The 17,500-nt window shown below is 37.4% G+C and overlaps 2 long non-coding RNA genes and 1 pseudogene across 2 annotated transcripts in view; 1 reads left to right on the forward strand and 2 right to left on the reverse strand.

Annotated features, from left to right (window-relative positions):
• The window catches only part of LOC105375268 (uncharacterized), a 79,190-nt gene that overhangs the window by 9,556 nt on the left and 52,134 nt on the right, over nucleotides 1-17,500 (reverse strand). The gene's annotated exons all lie outside the window — the stretch shown is intronic.
• Nucleotides 15,947-16,297, reverse strand: MRPL42P4 (mitochondrial ribosomal protein L42 pseudogene 4; annotated as a pseudogene).
• LOC124901627 (uncharacterized) lies at nucleotides 15,962-17,253 on the forward strand. The gene is made up of 2 exons (XR_007060317.1): nucleotides 15,962-16,071; nucleotides 17,018-17,253. It is a non-coding gene; the product is annotated as an uncharacterized LOC124901627 (long non-coding RNA).

Below are 17,500 nucleotides of genomic sequence, written 5' to 3' on the forward strand. Positions count from 1 at the left end.
CAACAGAGCAAGACCTTGTCTCAAATAGAAATTAGTATACATATTTATAAAACATATATATTCTCAACTATCTTTTATACTTTTCGGTATAAATATTTTACATCTTTTTTATAGATTTATTCTTAGTTATTTGATTTTTTAATGTTAAATTACATATTTTTAAATTTTCATTTTCTTTTTGTTTGCCACTGATGTATCAAATACAACGGGTTTTTATATGATGGTGTTGAACCAGGTGGCCTTGCTAAATTCACTTACCTAATAGTTTATCTGTAATGCTGAAAAGATTTTTTATAATTACAATTATGTTGAATTAGAATAATTACACTTTTACTTTTTCTGTTATAATCTTTTTACCTTTATTTTCTTGTCTTCCCTTATTGTACTAGCTCCAGTAAAATGGCCCTCAACAAACAAGAGATTGAGAAGATCACACAATTCAAAATTCATGTAAAAGTCTAACTAGCTCTAAGCCAATGCTTTCTTTTATATGTTTTTTTAAAGTTCAGTTTAACTTCGCAGCACATTTTTCATAACTTTGTCTGCTATACAAATTGTTCTGAGTCTCACTGAAATGAACAGCTATGTGAACATCAAACACAAACTGTTTTATTGGAAATTACCAATTACATCATTAGGAAAACCAAGAGACCAAAGAAAGACTTGGGAGTAATGAAACAAATGCACTTCTAGCCAGCTTCTATGTTAGATTTTTTTGGCCAAATCCATGGGCAAATCATAAAGATTGACACCAAAATGCTGCAACAATCAATTACAAGTTCTCTTGAAACAAATGGAAAAATTTTAAAAAAAACTGCAAATAAATAGTTTCTAAAAAAAAAAAAAGAACCAAGTGGAAATTATAGAAGTAAAAAATACAATAATATAATATTTTTTGTTTTCAGTTGACACCATGCTCCTACTAGTAAAGACAGGGGATACAATGAGTGAATTTGAAGACAGAACAATTTAATTTACCTAACCTGAACAACCAAAAGAAAATAGTCTGGAAAGAAAAAACAAGAGTGAACAGAGCCTAAGAAACCTCAGCGACAACAACAAAAGTTGCAACACCCATAAACTAAGAGTCCAGATGTAGGCCCTAACATATCAATAATTACCTTAAATACACCAATTAAAAGATTGGTGAGGTGGTAAAAACAAATACAGATAGTCCAACTGCGTGCTACTTACAAGAAACTCACTTCAAATTCCACAACATAGGTTAGTTGAAAGTAAAAGGATGGAGAAAGATATGCTGGTAAATTTTATAACTTAGAAAGTATAGACCAACTCCTCAAAACCCCAAACTACCAAAACTCACCTGAGATGAAATGATAATCTTAATAAACCTATAACCACCAAATTCATAATTTAAAAGCTCCCTAAAAGGAAATGTCCAGGCCCAAAAGGTTGACCTGAAGAGCTCTTCAAAACATTTTTTACAAAACATAATAGCCATTTTACACAGTGTCTGGCAGAAAATAGGAAACAGGGAAATCTTGTCAACTCATTTTATGAGGCCAACATTACCTTTCTATCAACACTGGACACAGTCAATGCTAGAAATACTGCTACAGGTCAATATTTCTTATGGACTTAGACACAAAAGCTATCTACAACATATTAGCAAACTAAATTCTGCAGTGTCCAATCAAACCACCATAACCAAGTAAGATTTATTCCAAGTACACAAGCCTGGTTTGACATCTGAAAATCAATCCACATAATTTACCATACAAACAAGAGGAAGACAAGTCATATGATCTTATCAATTGATGCAGGAAAAGCATTTCAAGAAAATATAACACCCATTCCTAATAAAAACTCTCAACAAGATAGAAACAGAAGAGAATTACTTCAAATTTATAAGAGTATCTACAAAAAAAAACACCTACCTCTAACATCATAGTTAATGGTGAAAGACTGAAGGTTTTCTCCCTAAGAAGGGAGCAGGCAGAGATGTCCACTCTCACCACTCGTATTCAACACAGTGCTGGAAGTTCTTGCCATTGCATGAAGGCAAGAAAAATAAAGACATACAGATTGGAAAGGAAGAAACAAAATTATCTCTATTTGCAGAAGAAAATTGTCCACGTAGAAATTCCCAAGGAATTTACTTAAAATAAAAAATCCAAAAACCTCCCAGTAATAATAAATGAGTTGAGTAAAGTCACAGGACACAGAATCAATTATCTCATCTCTATCTACTAACAATGAACATGTAGAAATGGAAATTTAACCAAAGGTTACCTACTGTATGATTTCATTTATATAACATTTTCAAGTTGACAAAATTTTAAGAATAGAGAACAGATCAGTGATTGCCAGAGTGGGGCATTGGGTGAAGGGAAGGAGGTGTGCAGGTGTGGTTGTAAAAGGGTAACACAGGGATCCTTTTGGTGTTGGAACTATTCAGATATTGACTATGTTGAATACATGAGCCTACACAAGTGACAAAATATACAGAACTTAATACACACATACAGAATGAATACAGGTAAAACTGGGGAAATCTTAATAAGATTAGTGGATTATGTCAATACCTATATCCTGGCTGTAATACTAGAGTTTTGCAAAAATGCTACCTTTGTGGGGAACAGGACAATGAGTGCAATGGATCTCTCCATATAAATTTTTTTTAAATGTTTCTTTTTTAATTTTTTTAATTGACAGATAAAATTATATGTATTTCCGATGTACAACATGATGTTTTGTAGTGGTTATACATTGTGGAATGACTAAATCTAGCCAATTAACATATGCAATATCTCACATAGTTATCATTTTTGTGAGAATACTTTATATCCACCCAGCATTTTTCAAGAATGTAATTTATTATAAACTACAGTAACCATGTTGTATGATAGATGTCTCTATTAATTCTTACAATTGCATGTGAATCTACAATTATCCCAATTTAATAATTGATCATGTTATACTTCTACACTTTCTTATTCACAATTCTAGTATCCGGAATTTTTTAAAAACAAACAAAAAATTATAATTTATTCAGTCTTAAGGTTTGACTTGATTTGAAAACATTTAGCTGTGAATGCTAAACTGAAGAGAGGATATTTATAGTCTTTATCCCACATAATAGGTATACATTATATACATATCTTATAAGGTTCTGAAAATTTGTAAATTCTGAAATAGAGCTTTGTCTCAAAATTTTCAATGAAGGACTGTGTGGTCTTTGTTGATTACTGAGCTGTAATCAACCCAAATCAATAGCTATTGAGTACAGTAGGGTTTGGCTGTTGACCAGGGTTAGAACCCCGTAAAGTCCATTCAAACCTTTTTATGACCAAGATACAGAAAGACTAAAAGTATCAAAATTGCATGTTTCCTTTAAAAAAGCAATAAAAAACTTTATTCATTCTTCTCTATTCACTCACGCACTCATTTATTCATTCAACAAGGATTCACTGAATGTTGATTGTGTTCGGTTATGAGCTGTGTCCTTTGATGAACATTAAATTATTTCATATTCTTAGCAGAAGTCCTCAAAATGAGCATCACGCCTCCATTTTATAGAAGAGGAGACTGAAACCTAGACAATTTAAATATCACCCTAGGTCAGATAGCAGATACTTAAAGCCAGGACTCTATCTCATGTCTGTCTGGCTCTAAAGCCTGCTTTTTTTATCTTCACCAAAGGGAAAATTCAGACATGTAAGACTAATCTTGTATCTCTAACTCTTACCTGTTTCAAAAGGTCTAGAATGATACACAAAGGCACCAAGTAGCAATTTTACAAGAATTGAATTAATCTTGAAAAAGAATGTAACTCAATGCAGGTTAGAAATTTGAATACACATTTTTCAAAAAGTAGAAAACTTAAAATGAATACCTTAGATGAAAGTGAATATTTTTAGGAAAAAGAAATATAAGTGAAGTTGAGACTAAAAGAAATTTCTAGCAAATAAGAAAGAGTCTACAGTAAAATTACTATCTGATTTGGGTAATTTTTCAGTAACAGTGTGATTATTACTTAAAAGGCAAGATTTTCTTCGTTCTGTAGAGAAGGCTATTATCCACCTCTTCTTTGAATTGGCAGGATATCAGTATAGCTTGACATATGAAAGGTAGCATCCTATCAGTTAACATAACGCAATGTGATTCAATGCACTGCAATGAAAATAAAGTTAAGGTCCAGGTATTTGTATCTATTCCTCTTTTTTCTTCTCAGGATCCTTCTCTTTGGTGTTTGTTGGGCTGCCCAGCATTTATTTAACTGTGCAGGTAACCTCACTCAAGAAACTGAGGAAAGCTAAACCCCTCCACAGTGGCAAAAATGAGGGACACACTCTGAGAAAAAGAACCAGGATTGTGAAAGAGGCCACAGGATGATCCAGTAAGATAGGAGGGGAGCATGAGGAAGAAGGCTCCCTGAGGGCTGGGGTGAGGGTGAAACAGTTGTGGGCAGGACCCCTGGTAGCCGCCTTCAAGGCTGGAACACGAGGGAGGCGGCGGTACACTATGGTAGGGTTTCTGAAGGTTTCTTTCAGATACATTATATAACCCATTCTTCAGTGACCCAGAACTTCTCTCAGGACCCGTAATGCTATTGCTTGTATCTGGCAATAAGTAAGTGTTTACTTGTCTACGGAAATTTTTTTTGGATGGATTTTCTAGATCATATGTGTTGTTTTTTTGAAGCTGTGATGTGCTGCTATTGGCCATAAAGCAAAAGAACAAATTTTTGGTTTTATATGGGTCTCTAAAGATCTGCCATTGAAAGAATCATCTCCTACAAAAGTTTCAAACAATGATTATTCTGTTTAATACGAATTTTCAAGGCACAACCTTTAGAGTAGACAGTTTATTCTAACCCCTCCCTCAGTCTATTTCCCAAAGTATTGCTTGATTGAATGAACACTAATTGTGTAATAGAAACAACACTTTGAGAAGTTCTAGTAGTCGGGTTATAAGAAATGGTTAGGAAAGGAAGTCAGTAACCGTGTGCACAAGAACAATAATTAGCTGGATAGCAGGAAGCTGCCGGGTTCTCACACAAAAGCTTTCAGGCTCATCTTTTCCCTCTTACTTCCTCTCTTAAGGTGTCACCAACATACATATAGTCTCCTTTAAAAAGATTTGGCATCCTAAAGTGAGTTATTATTTTTAAAGTCAAGTAAAAATACAGTAACCCAGAATGAGAAAGACTCTGTAATAAGTCATTCAGGCATTTACATACAGACTAAGCATAATAGGATGACATCTATAATCTTACGAAGAGTGTGAATCTGCTGGGTGCAGTGGCTCATGCCTGTAATCCCAGCACTTTGAGAGGGTGAGGCGGGTGGATTGCTTGAGGTCAGGAGTTCGAAACCAGCCTGGCCAACATGGCAAAACACTGTCTCTACTAAAAATACAAAAAAAAAAGTAACCAGGCATGGTGGTGCCTGTAGTCCCAGCTACTCAAGAGGTTGAGGCAGGAGAATCTCTTGAACCCAGGAGACGAGGTTGCAGTGAGCTGAGATCACGCCTCTGCACTCCAGCCTGGGTGACAGAGTGAGACTCTGTTTCAAAGAAAAAAAGAGTGTGAATCTTTTCTCCCCTTGCTTTATAGCATAAGAGAAAGGCCATCAAGTTGGGGGCACATTTCTCATTCTGAGTGAGGCTGACTTTGCCTTCACAATGTAAATCATGGACACACATGGGAGATGAGGTCTTCCCATACAACTGTATGTAGTTTTCAATCTCACAACAATAATCAGGCAACATCCTAGAGAATAATTATAAGTGGATTTGTTGGAAGTAGGAGGGAGAATGAAGCTTCATCATGCATACAACCAGTTTGTCTTGTGTAATGTAAGATGCATCCTAGTTATTCTGAAACAGTATTTAAAGCAAAAGGTTTGCTCAAGATAGAAAAAAATAGATAAAGCTTAGTCTCATGGAATGATCTATGGGTTACTCATCCAAGCTCTCACTTTCTCCCCTTCTCTATCCATATTAACTACACATGTGGGCTTGATAGTGCACAAGATAGCCTCAATTCACAAGATAACTTTCTTTCTTTTAGCAAACACTCAGCCTTCTCACACTATTCTCATATCTAGAAGATTGACCTAAAATCTCAGTTAATCAACTTATGCCTAAAAGCAGATATCAGTGCAAAAACCTTAGCAATGTCTAGGAGGAAATAATCAATGAGATGACAATGGAAAGAAAGCCTATATATCCTATTGTAAACTAAAAAGTACCTGAGACAAGTCTCAATCAGTTTAAAAGCTTATTTTGCCAAAGCTAAGGAAATGCCTGTGACACAGCCTCAGGAGGTCCTGATGACATGTGCCTAAGGTGATTGGGTTACAACTAGGTTTTATACATTTCAGGGAGACAAGACATTAATCAATACATGCAAGATGTACATTGCTTTGGTCCAGAAACGTGGGAAAACTGGAAACGGGGGCTTCCACGTCATAGATGGATTCAAAGATTTTCTTATTGACAATTGGTTGAAAGAGTTATTATCTAAAGACCTGGAATCAGGCCAGGTGCAGTGGCTCATGCCTGTAATCCAAACACTTCGGGAGGCCGAGGCAGGAGAATCAGTTGAGGTCAGGAGTTCAAGACCTGCCCAGCTAATATAATGAAATCCCATCTCTACTAGAATTACAAAAATTAGCTGGGCATGGTGGTGCACACCTGTAGTCCCAGCTACTTGGGAGGCTGAGGCAGGAGAATTGCTTAAACTCAGGAGGCAGGGGTAGTAGTGAACCAAGATTGCACCACTGCACTCCAGCCTGGGTGACGAGTGAGACGCTGTGTCAAAAATAAAGTAAAATAAAATAAGACCTGGAATTAATAGAAAGAATAGTCTGGGCTACAATAAGGGGTTGTGGAGGTCAATGTTTTATCATGCAGATGAAGCCTTCAGATAGCAGGCTTCAGAGAGAATGGATTGTAAATGTTTCTTATCAGACTTAAAGAGTCTGTTCTATCAGTCTTCAGGCTTGTGTTGATTTTAATGCTTGTCAGCTGTGCCTGAATAACAAAAGGGAAGATGGTATAATGAGACATGCCCAACTTCCCCTTTCCATCATGGCCTGAACAAGTTTTTCTGGTTACCTTTGGAATGCTCTTGGCTAAGAGGAGGGGTCTGATCCATTCAGATGGTTAGAGGCTTAAAATTTTATTTTTGGTTTTTACTACCAAGAGTTGCCTTATTCTTTCAGACAAGAAAACAAAGACCCAAGGATAAAATGAAACATGATAGTGGTCAAATAAATATCTGTATTGAAAAAAATGTAACTTATGACATCAGTAAGAAGATATTATAGAAGTATTATAGATATAAATATGAAAGATGAAATAATAAACTTGCAGATAATACGTAGGAGACTAGCTTCATGACCTTGGTGAGGTGAAAACATACTAAGCAGGGGAAAAAGAGCAATACATAGGAAAAGAGAAATAATTTTGACCATATTAAATTAAGAGCTTCTATTCATCAAAAGACACCAAAAAGAGTATGGAAAAGGAAGCCACAAACTGGGATAATTTCTTCTTGTTAAGCCATATAACCAGCAATGATAACAATTTCTAAAACACAAAGCAAACTCCTATGAGTCAATAATAAAAGAGAGGAAAAGAAAAATGAGCAGGAGACCTAAACTAACATGTCAAATGAAGAAGATGATCAGCTCAAAAATGAACTTCCTAGCACAAACCCAAACTCATTAGTCATTAGGAAATGCAGATTAAAATTGTATGGGATACAGATACAGCCAAAACAATGGTTAAATCTAAAGATGGAAAATATAAGTGTTGACAAGGACTTGGAACAGTGCGAGTTTTATTATAATCTTTAAGGAAGTGTGGCATGGTGTAGCCACTTTGAAAAGTCTTTGGAATTATCTGCTGTCATGAACGATGTGCTTCATTTTCTGGGCCATGGACCCCAACACAACGTTGGATAGAAGAGATAATTTTAGGTATCATTTTTGGTTTCCTAATTTTAGGAAAATTTTTATACCTTTAAGGATGATGTGTGCTGTAGAATTTTTGTGAATACATTTTTTATGTTAAAAATATTTTGTTTTTTTAATTTTTAATTCACCACAAGTTTTTATCCTTAACACATGTATTAGTCTATTCTCACGCTGCTAATAAAAACATACCTGAGACTGTGTAATTTATAAAGAAAAAAGGTTTAACTGACTCACAGTTCCACATGGCTGGGGAGGCCTCACAACCATGGCAGAAGGCAAATGAGGAGCAAAGTCATGTCTTACATGGTAACAGGTAAGAGAAAGCATGTGCAGGGCAACTTCCCTTTATAAAACCATCATATGTCGTGAGACTTATTCGCTATCATGAGAATAGCATGGGAAAGACCTGCCCCCATGATTCAATTACCTTCCACCAGGTCCCTCCCATGACACATGGGAATTATGGGAGCTACAATTCAAGGTGAGATTTGGGTGGGGACACAGCCAAACCATATCAATACACAGTGTATATTGATTTTTATCAAATGCCTTTTATTCCTTTTTTGAGATCATATTTTTTCTCCTTTTTCTCTTAATGTTTGAATCAGATTGATTGATTTTTGAATGTCAATTCCAAACTTCAATTCCTAGAATGACTTCAATTCGGTTATGACATTTTGTTATTTGTGTATATTTGCCATGGTAATATTTTCTTTCATGTTTTTTATATGTTTCTTGCATTGTCTTTGTCAAGAGTATTCTTGTCCTCAAAATACAAGTTGGTTTTATTTCAATTAATACAAAAATTTGCATTTTTATACAAAAGTTTAAATAGCTAAGAGTTCCATGGTTTTATCATTTGGAATTGTTTTTAATGTCTTTTTTAAAAAGTACTCAAAAATAATGATACCTGAGTTGATACTAAAAAATACATAGATGTGTTATAAGCACAGATATGTGAAAGGTAAAAGATAATGGGACATGAATAATGCTGGGGTGAGGTGTTAATATTTCCACCAAAAGGGATAAGAGCTCCATGGGATACTACTTTTCACTATTTATTGAAATAAGACTAAGTCTAACATGATCTTATAATATCTGGTAGTTTCCAAAAAGCAAATTTTTTTTTTACTATTTCTGAAATAGTTTTGAAATAATACAGGACCTGCATTTTCAAGTTTGACAATTTTACGTTAAAAACAGGTAAATAGTTAATTGAGCCAATTCCACCCCCACTCTGAATCTTAGATTCAGCCATCTGAAAAGAGTAAAATGCTCTCTACTGTGTCAGAGTCTGTGTGTCCAGGGAAGGTATAGAAATAGGACAGAATAGGATGCTAACTCAAATTAAACCCATAGAATTAATGCTTTTGAGTTGCATTGATTAACAGGTAAATTCCCAATCAATACTACCATTCATGTGTGGTTTTTTTCTTATTCAAGGTGAGTGAAGTGTTTATGAGAATCTAACCATGTTGCTGGGTCTCCCTCCATTTTTTGATGTTGGACTGCTGCTGACATCTATTAAGCCCCAACCTTTCTTCTTCTCCTTGTGCCCCACATCTGGGCAAGATAAGATGCCTGGGCGCTCCTTCCTTTGGCACCAGTGCAAGATTAAAACCATGCAAGTGCCTGTCTGCTTGAGAGAACTTTCATCCCAGCCCCAGCCCTGGCCACAGCCCTACACAGCAGGAGCCATGTAGGACCTGCTTGAGAAACCTGCTCTGCTCTCCCCAGAGATCTCGATTTTGACTTTTTCATACTCTCTTGGTGTATGTGTGTGTGTGTGTGTATTCAATTACCTTCCACCAGGTCCCTCCTATGACACATGGGAATTATGGGAGCTACAATTCAAGGTGAGATTTGGGTGGGGACACAGCCAAACCATATCAATACACAATGTATATTGATTTTTATCAAATGCCTTTTATTCCTTTTTTGAGATCATATGTGTGTGTAGTACCAACAGTCTTGACATCCAAACCAAATTTTGGATGGAGTCCATCTGCCTCTGAAAGTGGCCATAACACTGACAAAATAGAAAACCTGTTATTTAAATTCTTGGTTATAATTTGAAATGTTTAATAGAAACTGACATCACAGAATGGTACTGCAATTTAAAAATGTGACTGAATACAATTGTATTATAAACAGTGTCTAAATGCTTAGTCCAGTATTGTTGTTATAATTGTAAGCTCAGGTGCACTAGGCTGGTAACAGTGTTACTGGTAGAAGGTGTCCAGGTTCTTGGCATCTCGAACAAAGAATTGGAAAAAATGCACAAACAAAGCAAGGACAGCAAATACAGGGATTTATTGAGAATGAAAGTACACTCCACAATGTGGGGGTGGGCCTGAGCATAGAGGCTCACGGGCCCGCTTACAGAATTTTCTGGGGTTTCAATACTCTAGAGGTTTCCCATTGGTTACTTGGTGTACATTCTACGTACATGAAGAGAATGAAGTGAAGTCACAGAGTCGTTTACTTGGAATGCACCCTATTGTAAATGGAGAGGACATTACTTGGTTTGTGTGATCTAGGTAAATGGAGAGGATGAATGTGAAGTTACAAAGTGTAAATGGAGAGGACGTTACTTGGTGTGTGTGGTCTACTTCAATGGAGAGGATGAAGTGAAGTTACAAAGCTATTCACGTTCCTGTCATGGCTGAGGGGCTTTCACTTGATTTAGTTCTAGGAAGTCAGCGTGCATCGGCCTTATGTTCTCTACCTCCAAGCCCTATTCTCCTGCCTCAGTAGCACTGCAACCTAGAGAGCATTTGTCTGTTTGACTGTTAAGGCTTCCATGTTCGAGATGTGTGGTGAGTCGACCAGAAACATTGTTGTAATTTCAGTTTGATAAAGTTGAAGAAGTACATATGCTTGCAGATGAAGGTAAATTTTTAGGGGTTCAATCTGTAATTGAATATTAAACAAATAACACAAAATTGACTAGATTCATATGTAAAGTAAAATATGCCCTAAAAAATAAGAAATGCTGTTTTTAAAACTGTAGGCTAGCTAATAAACTGGATATTATTTTAAACTCAAATACCTATAAACAGTCTCATCTATAAACATCCTCCCCACCCTAACTGAAACCCAACTGACATAAGGAAGAGCCTAGAGAGGGAGGAGAGGAGGAAGAAGCTTGAGAGAGAAGAAGCTGTAGGGAAGACAAGCTTGAGAGAAGAGAAGTTTGAGAAAGAAGAAGCTGAGGGAGGAGAAACTTGAGAGTGGGCGGAAGATCACTGAGATGGTGGAGAGTCACAGGTGTGTGAGTAAGGAGAAGATAGGGAGACAGTGGGCAAAGGAGACTTGTGAATCAAGGAGGTTGCAAACATGATAAAAAAGACCTGTGGAGCATCTTCATGAGCAACAGAAACAGCAGTCGTGCTGTCCATGTATGTCTAGAAAGAGAGGGAGTTGAACCATCCTCAAGGTTTCCAGTAGCCTTAGGCAGTATACAAGAGCATTTGAGAATATTCTTGTCTTGAAAGAGACAAGCAAGTTACTGATACTGCTCGAACTAAGGAGCTCTGACATTGGAAGAGATGGCAAGACCCCTGGGAAGACCTGATGATAGGGACAAAGAAGGCACCAAAAACACCAAAAGAGACTCCCAACCAATGCCAGCACAGATGAGTTACACCTCAGCCGGTGATAGTAGAAGACAGAGGGTGCCCACAAAAATATCTCCAATGCCTTAATACTCCACCAGCAGCCCGATGACACCTTTCAGAGAAGAAAAGGCAATTCTAAAGTGTTGAAGAAATCCCTGTTGTATCTGAGATTAGCCTGAATTGGTAAGATCAGGTAATTGGCCACTAGGTTGTTTGGGACTCTAAATAGGTTAGTCGTATAAACAACAGAAAGTTTATTTGACCTTTATGCCCATCTGAAAAGCCAAAGCCCACATATAATTCTTGGCAATGAGTTATGACTTAATAAAAGTTATTTCCATTATACTGATCATAAAAGTCTTTTTCCAGTGTGAAGTACTAAGTACCATAAAGTATTAAGCAGCTTTGTCATCAACAGCAGCATTCTGAATTTCCAGGCTCTTGATAAGTTGTGGTTACACACCTTGAAACAATCACATCTGGAACCTGTCCTAGGAGTTAGGGCAGTTGGACTTATCTCCAATAATAATCCTTCCTGAATTAATTCAACATCCACAATGTTTGTCATCAATTAATAAAAGGAAACATAGAATTAAACAAATCCCACATGGCAATTATGAGAAAGGCCATAAAAGGGAAACATATTATTTTCTAAGAAACAAAGAAATACAGAACGCCTCTTATGTTATAAGCACAGATATGTGAAAGATAAAAGATAATGGGACATGAATAGTGCTGGGGTGAGGTGTTAACATTTCTACCAAAGGGATAAGAGCTCCATGGGGGTACTACTTTTCACTATTTATTGAAATAAGACAGTCTAAGATGATCTTATAATATATGGTAGTTTCCAAAAAGCAATTTTTTTTTTTTACTATTTCTGAAATAGCTTTGAAATAATATAGGACGAGACTGAATGGCCACTGGCTGGTTGGGAAGGAATTCCTCTCTCCTGCAATGTTCTCAGATACAGATGCTTTTACATTTCTTTATCCACAGCCTGGCCACAGTGGATAAAGAAATGCAAAAGCATCTGTATCTGAGCACATCGCAGGAGAGAGGAATTCCTTCCCAACCAGCTAGTGGCCCTACAGTCTTGTCCCTTACGTCCCCAGGAGAGCTCATCTGGTGAACTCGGCTTATGCACGTTTCAAGCTTCCCCAAGAAAGGGAAAGGTCAAGAATATTCTTGAGGCAAAAGATCCTGATTAGGAGCAAGTATTTCAGAAAAAGCTGTGAGGTCTGAAATACACTGACAGAAAGTATAAGAAGTTTGTGTCCTGTTTCTATCACTGACAAGCTATGTAAGTTTGTACAATTCTCTTAGGTCATTCAAACCTCAGTTTCCCCATCTGTAAAACGGAAAAAAATGATAATGGTCCCTTCCTGGCAGACATGGCTTATTGGCTCATTCTCTGATGAAGCACTTCCTACCATCGTCATTTTGTCACTGTCCACTCTCCAGAAAATAAAAGCAGATATTCACTTCACAGCTGAGAGTGGCCAAGAAATATGGAGGAAAAGTGCATGGGTGCTTCTGATAGGCTTTAAACTGAGCCTTTTCTCCCTTTTACCCATCTTGTGCCCAGTAATTATTTCAAAATCCAAAGCAATCACATTGCAACCGTGAGTGAGGCATCAGTGTGAGCACAATTGGCCAATGTGATAAGAACGGTTTAGAAAGTCCAGCTTCTGAATGGCACTGCTGAGCAGCTCCAGCAACAGCAGGCACTGCAATTCTTCAGATTTCCTGTTGTAGATTAAAAATGAATCCATATTTGTTTAAGTCACTATAAAGTAAATTTTTGATTACTTGCAGCTAAAAGCATTCCTAACCACCAAGCCATGTTAAAATTGTTTTTAATTAATAAGCATTTTAGAAATATTATTTATTCTTTTTATACTTAAAAATACATACCACATGATAGCATGTACATTTTATTTAATTTTTACTGAATGAAATTAAATGGTATTTATTCACTCATCAGATGAATCACATATATTAGAAATAAAGGAGAATCATGTAAAAATTGCATTGCTAAAAAGAATAAAAAGATGAATTTCTCCCAAAGTTTTTGAACCACAGGCAGTAGTACATCAGCAAAATGATTATTTTATTTAAAATGTATAATTTATTATTTATTATTAAGTAAATTATTTATTTTTATTTAAAATTTTTAAAAAATTAGTCTTGTTGGAGCCATGGAGTAGAAAAAATGATATTTTGTACTGTCACTATATCTTTTCTCAGGGAACTTGCCCTGAAAAAACAAAGGCCCACCTTAGGAGAAGAACACGGGCCAGAGGCACCCTGTTTCTGAGCTACCCTCAACCAGCCACCTCTGGAAGCACTGGCAACTCATCCCCAGGGGCTGTTGCCCAGCGACTGGGTTTGGCACACCAAGTGAAATCCACTAGAGGCTGGCTCAGCTGACCTATCCACTCCATTTTCTGTCATTTCCCTCAGCACTACCTGTACTCCAGCCACAGAGAACTATGCAATCATCTCTGAACAGATAGTTCAGCTGTCTGCTTATTTTCCCTACAGATCACCCTTCCTCTGTGTCTGCCAGGAATACCCCTCTTACCCAGCAAGGTCCTACTAGAACATTTACTCCTCACTGACGCTCTTACCCGCAAAATATATGGACCCACCTATGGTTTCCTCATGATGGTCAGCACATATCTCTGTTGTAGGCACTGGCCAAAATGTTACTTTTTATCTGATTGTGTAGCTTTTTCCCCATTTAAATGTGAATCCAGACCCTATCCCCTTGGTATCCTGAAAATCAGGTGGATCATGATCCTCTAGTTGACTGGGATTGGCTTTCAAGTGGATAGATTTAGGTTTATCCAAGTGCTAATGGATGGCAGGTTGCAAAGAGGTCATAGGGGGAGCATTTGGAAGATTGGGGCAGAGGTTTCAAACACTTTTTTTAACAATTATTTTGACCTGTCTGCACGCTGGTTTTATTTACCACTTATGTATACTTTACTTCACTGAAGAAAGAACTTTTGTCTGTTCACTATGGATGGAGAGCAAAGATTTGATTCAGCTGAACAACAGCCCCCAGTATTTGCACATATACAATCTCCTGAGAAGAGATTCAGGAACTGTCTTCCATATTTAGAAACAGCTCAAAGGTTCAATTGATCTTGGATGCCCAGTGGGCTCCAGGATAAATAAAAACCTTTGATTCCCCTAGGGCTTTCTGGTTTCCATTTTTATCCCTTAGTGTTTGACTAAACACCACATGAAAATGAAAAACGTATACCAACTTTCCTAATTGAAGCTGTGTCTGATTATGGAAACACTTAAAACATAAAAATGGGTTGCACATGGCTTGCTCCTGGCGCTGAGCTCAGGAACTACTTCCTGCTGTCAATCCAATGAATTCAACACTGCACTATGGATGGTAACAATATTCATCTTCAACTGACAATACTTCACAATATTCAGTTTAAAATCATTTTCCTGGCTAGGTCACTTTAACTTTGTAAGTAAACACTGCCAAAATTCCCACGGTCTAGCTAAGACTTTGAGTTTATATATAAACTGAATTTGTACAAGAGGCTGAAGGATATGGTCACAGACTCTTTTTTCTACTAGCAGAAGGAAGTCGGCTTCAGCCTGAAGCTTTCTCAATAATAAGAACTATAGGACTATCATGTCCTATTTTCTACAATTTTCAAGTACGGAAACCTAAAGTCTAAAAACAAAACAAAACACAAGGATAACAAGGCTGGGTTAGGCCATACCCGTACTTTGTACTCATATCCAGACCATACTTCATTTGGAGGGTCATGGGAAGCTGTTTTTGTTCATATTGATGTTCTACTGGAAATTAAAATTTTATGAAAATTACAGTTCAAGGTACTGACTCTGATAAGGCTAATGAAGATAATCAGAAAAAATCAACTTTAGAACCCTAAACGGCTTAGTTAATCTTAAATTACCCATAAGAGGTAAGGGAAGGTATTTCAGCCACAATGGGGATCTGTGGAATCATGCTTTCTATGCATGTCAGTCGGCTAATACTATTGAAAGTCTTCCCAGTACCGGGGAAACACTTCTCCTGCCTTTGCATCCTGGGCCAGCATCTCCCTGGTCTCAGCCTGTGAAGAGCAGAGGCAAAATGTGTGCTCCATAATACAGAGAATAAGCCCTTTAGAAGCGCCCAAATGGGTTTCAAATCTCAGCTCTGCTGCTTACTAGAATTTTGCATCTGGAATTTGCATCTTCTTTTTTTAAAATATATGAAAATACATTTTATTATTATTTCAGTGTATAATATATTAGTGAATACACCAGATTGCATTTTCTCAAATGGCCCATAAATTACACGATAACATTTCTCTTTGATTCCTGAGATCTTCAATATTGTTTGTCTTTCAGACCATCTACATTCTTACCATGACTGTGAGACTGATACTGCCCACAACGATACCAGTACTGAGTGATGAAGAACATTTTGCTAAGTTGTTCTATCGTGGTCCTTGCTTAAGGTACTGACCTTTTTTTTGCTAATCTATTTTTCAGCACTTGAGCATGTGTTTCTTCATTGTCACGTACAGGATCTGGTTGAGGGAGAGGTTTTATGTGTTCATCTGCAATGTCCACAGAAGCGGTGCAGCTTACTATTGTGCTGCCATCAGATGTCAAGAAAAGCTCTACTTTGTGGCCTAACAGTGAAGAATACATAGATTTATAAAAAACAATACAGAGCTCCATCATAATTTATCTATCCCTTTTGATTGGCATCCAAGTTTTCTCCCCTTTTCCACTATTGCAATCTCCTTTTGGTTTGGAAATACACGTTTCAAGATAGTTTGCTATCACTTGTTTTACTGCTGCTGATCACTGACACTTACACAGAAGTTAATGTGTGTCAGATAATGTTCTATGTGCTGATGTATATCACCCCTAAATCTTCACAAAACCCCATCAAGTACATATTTTTATTACCGCTGTTTCATGCCTGTGAAAACAGGTGCAGAGAGGTCCAATGGTGTGAGCAAGGTCACAAAACAGGTTACGGTGGAGTGGAGCAAAAGCTGCAGCTTCTGCTCCAGAGCCAGGCTCTTAACAAGGGCACCTGCTGTCCCTGCCTCGAGCAGGTTCCAAGGTTTTGCTGTTGTTGGGGTGTTTTGTTTGTTGTGCTGTTCCAGCATCGTAATAATATCAGACACAAGAGCTGCCTGGCTGTCTTCCCGGGATTAGAGGTAAACACTGAGGCTACATTTTGTGAGTGAAGATAACTAGTCCTTTGGGGAGAAGGCAAGCCAATGGCCCTGGCCTCATTTGTTAGCCATCTAATTTTCGAGCATGAGTTTGCTTGAGTAGGACCACCTGGTATTAGAACATTTCCTGTGTTCATAGAAATTTAAAATTGTGTATTTATAAAACATTTATCAAACTGAGTGACATCATTCAACAATTTGGTACTTTCAGGGGATTGTTGGACGGATGTTGTGGGAACTGAACTTGAAGAAGGAAGAGCCCATCATTTGGACACATCTTAGGGCTTCCCAGCTGCACCAGGTTATGGACAAGGGACCTGGAACCCCAACCCTTCCAGTCACTAACCACATGGCCTGAGATGTCATTTCATGCAGCTGGGCTCTTTGTGCTCATCAGCAAGTGATGTAAATAAAGCATGTGAGGTTAGCACACCGTATATTCTCAAATCCTGGAGCTACTGGTCCTCTTGTGACTATTATTATTATTAATATTATAATGAACTTTTGAAAAAATTATTTAGTGTGTTGCAAAGTTTCTCTACACCTGGAAGTAAATGCAGTCAAATTTGGGTGAGGCAGGAATTTCCAATCTTGAGTCTGCCCCTTTGCAGACCCTTCCTAGAGGCTGAGACCCTGTAGCTGTGGCCTGAGCCCACCGGATATGCAGCCAAGTATGGGCATCTGTCAACTACAG

This window comes from Homo sapiens, chromosome 7, assembly GCF_000001405.40.
Source record: "Homo sapiens chromosome 7, GRCh38.p14 Primary Assembly".
Lineage (NCBI taxonomy): Eukaryota > Metazoa > Chordata > Mammalia > Primates > Hominidae > Homo > Homo sapiens.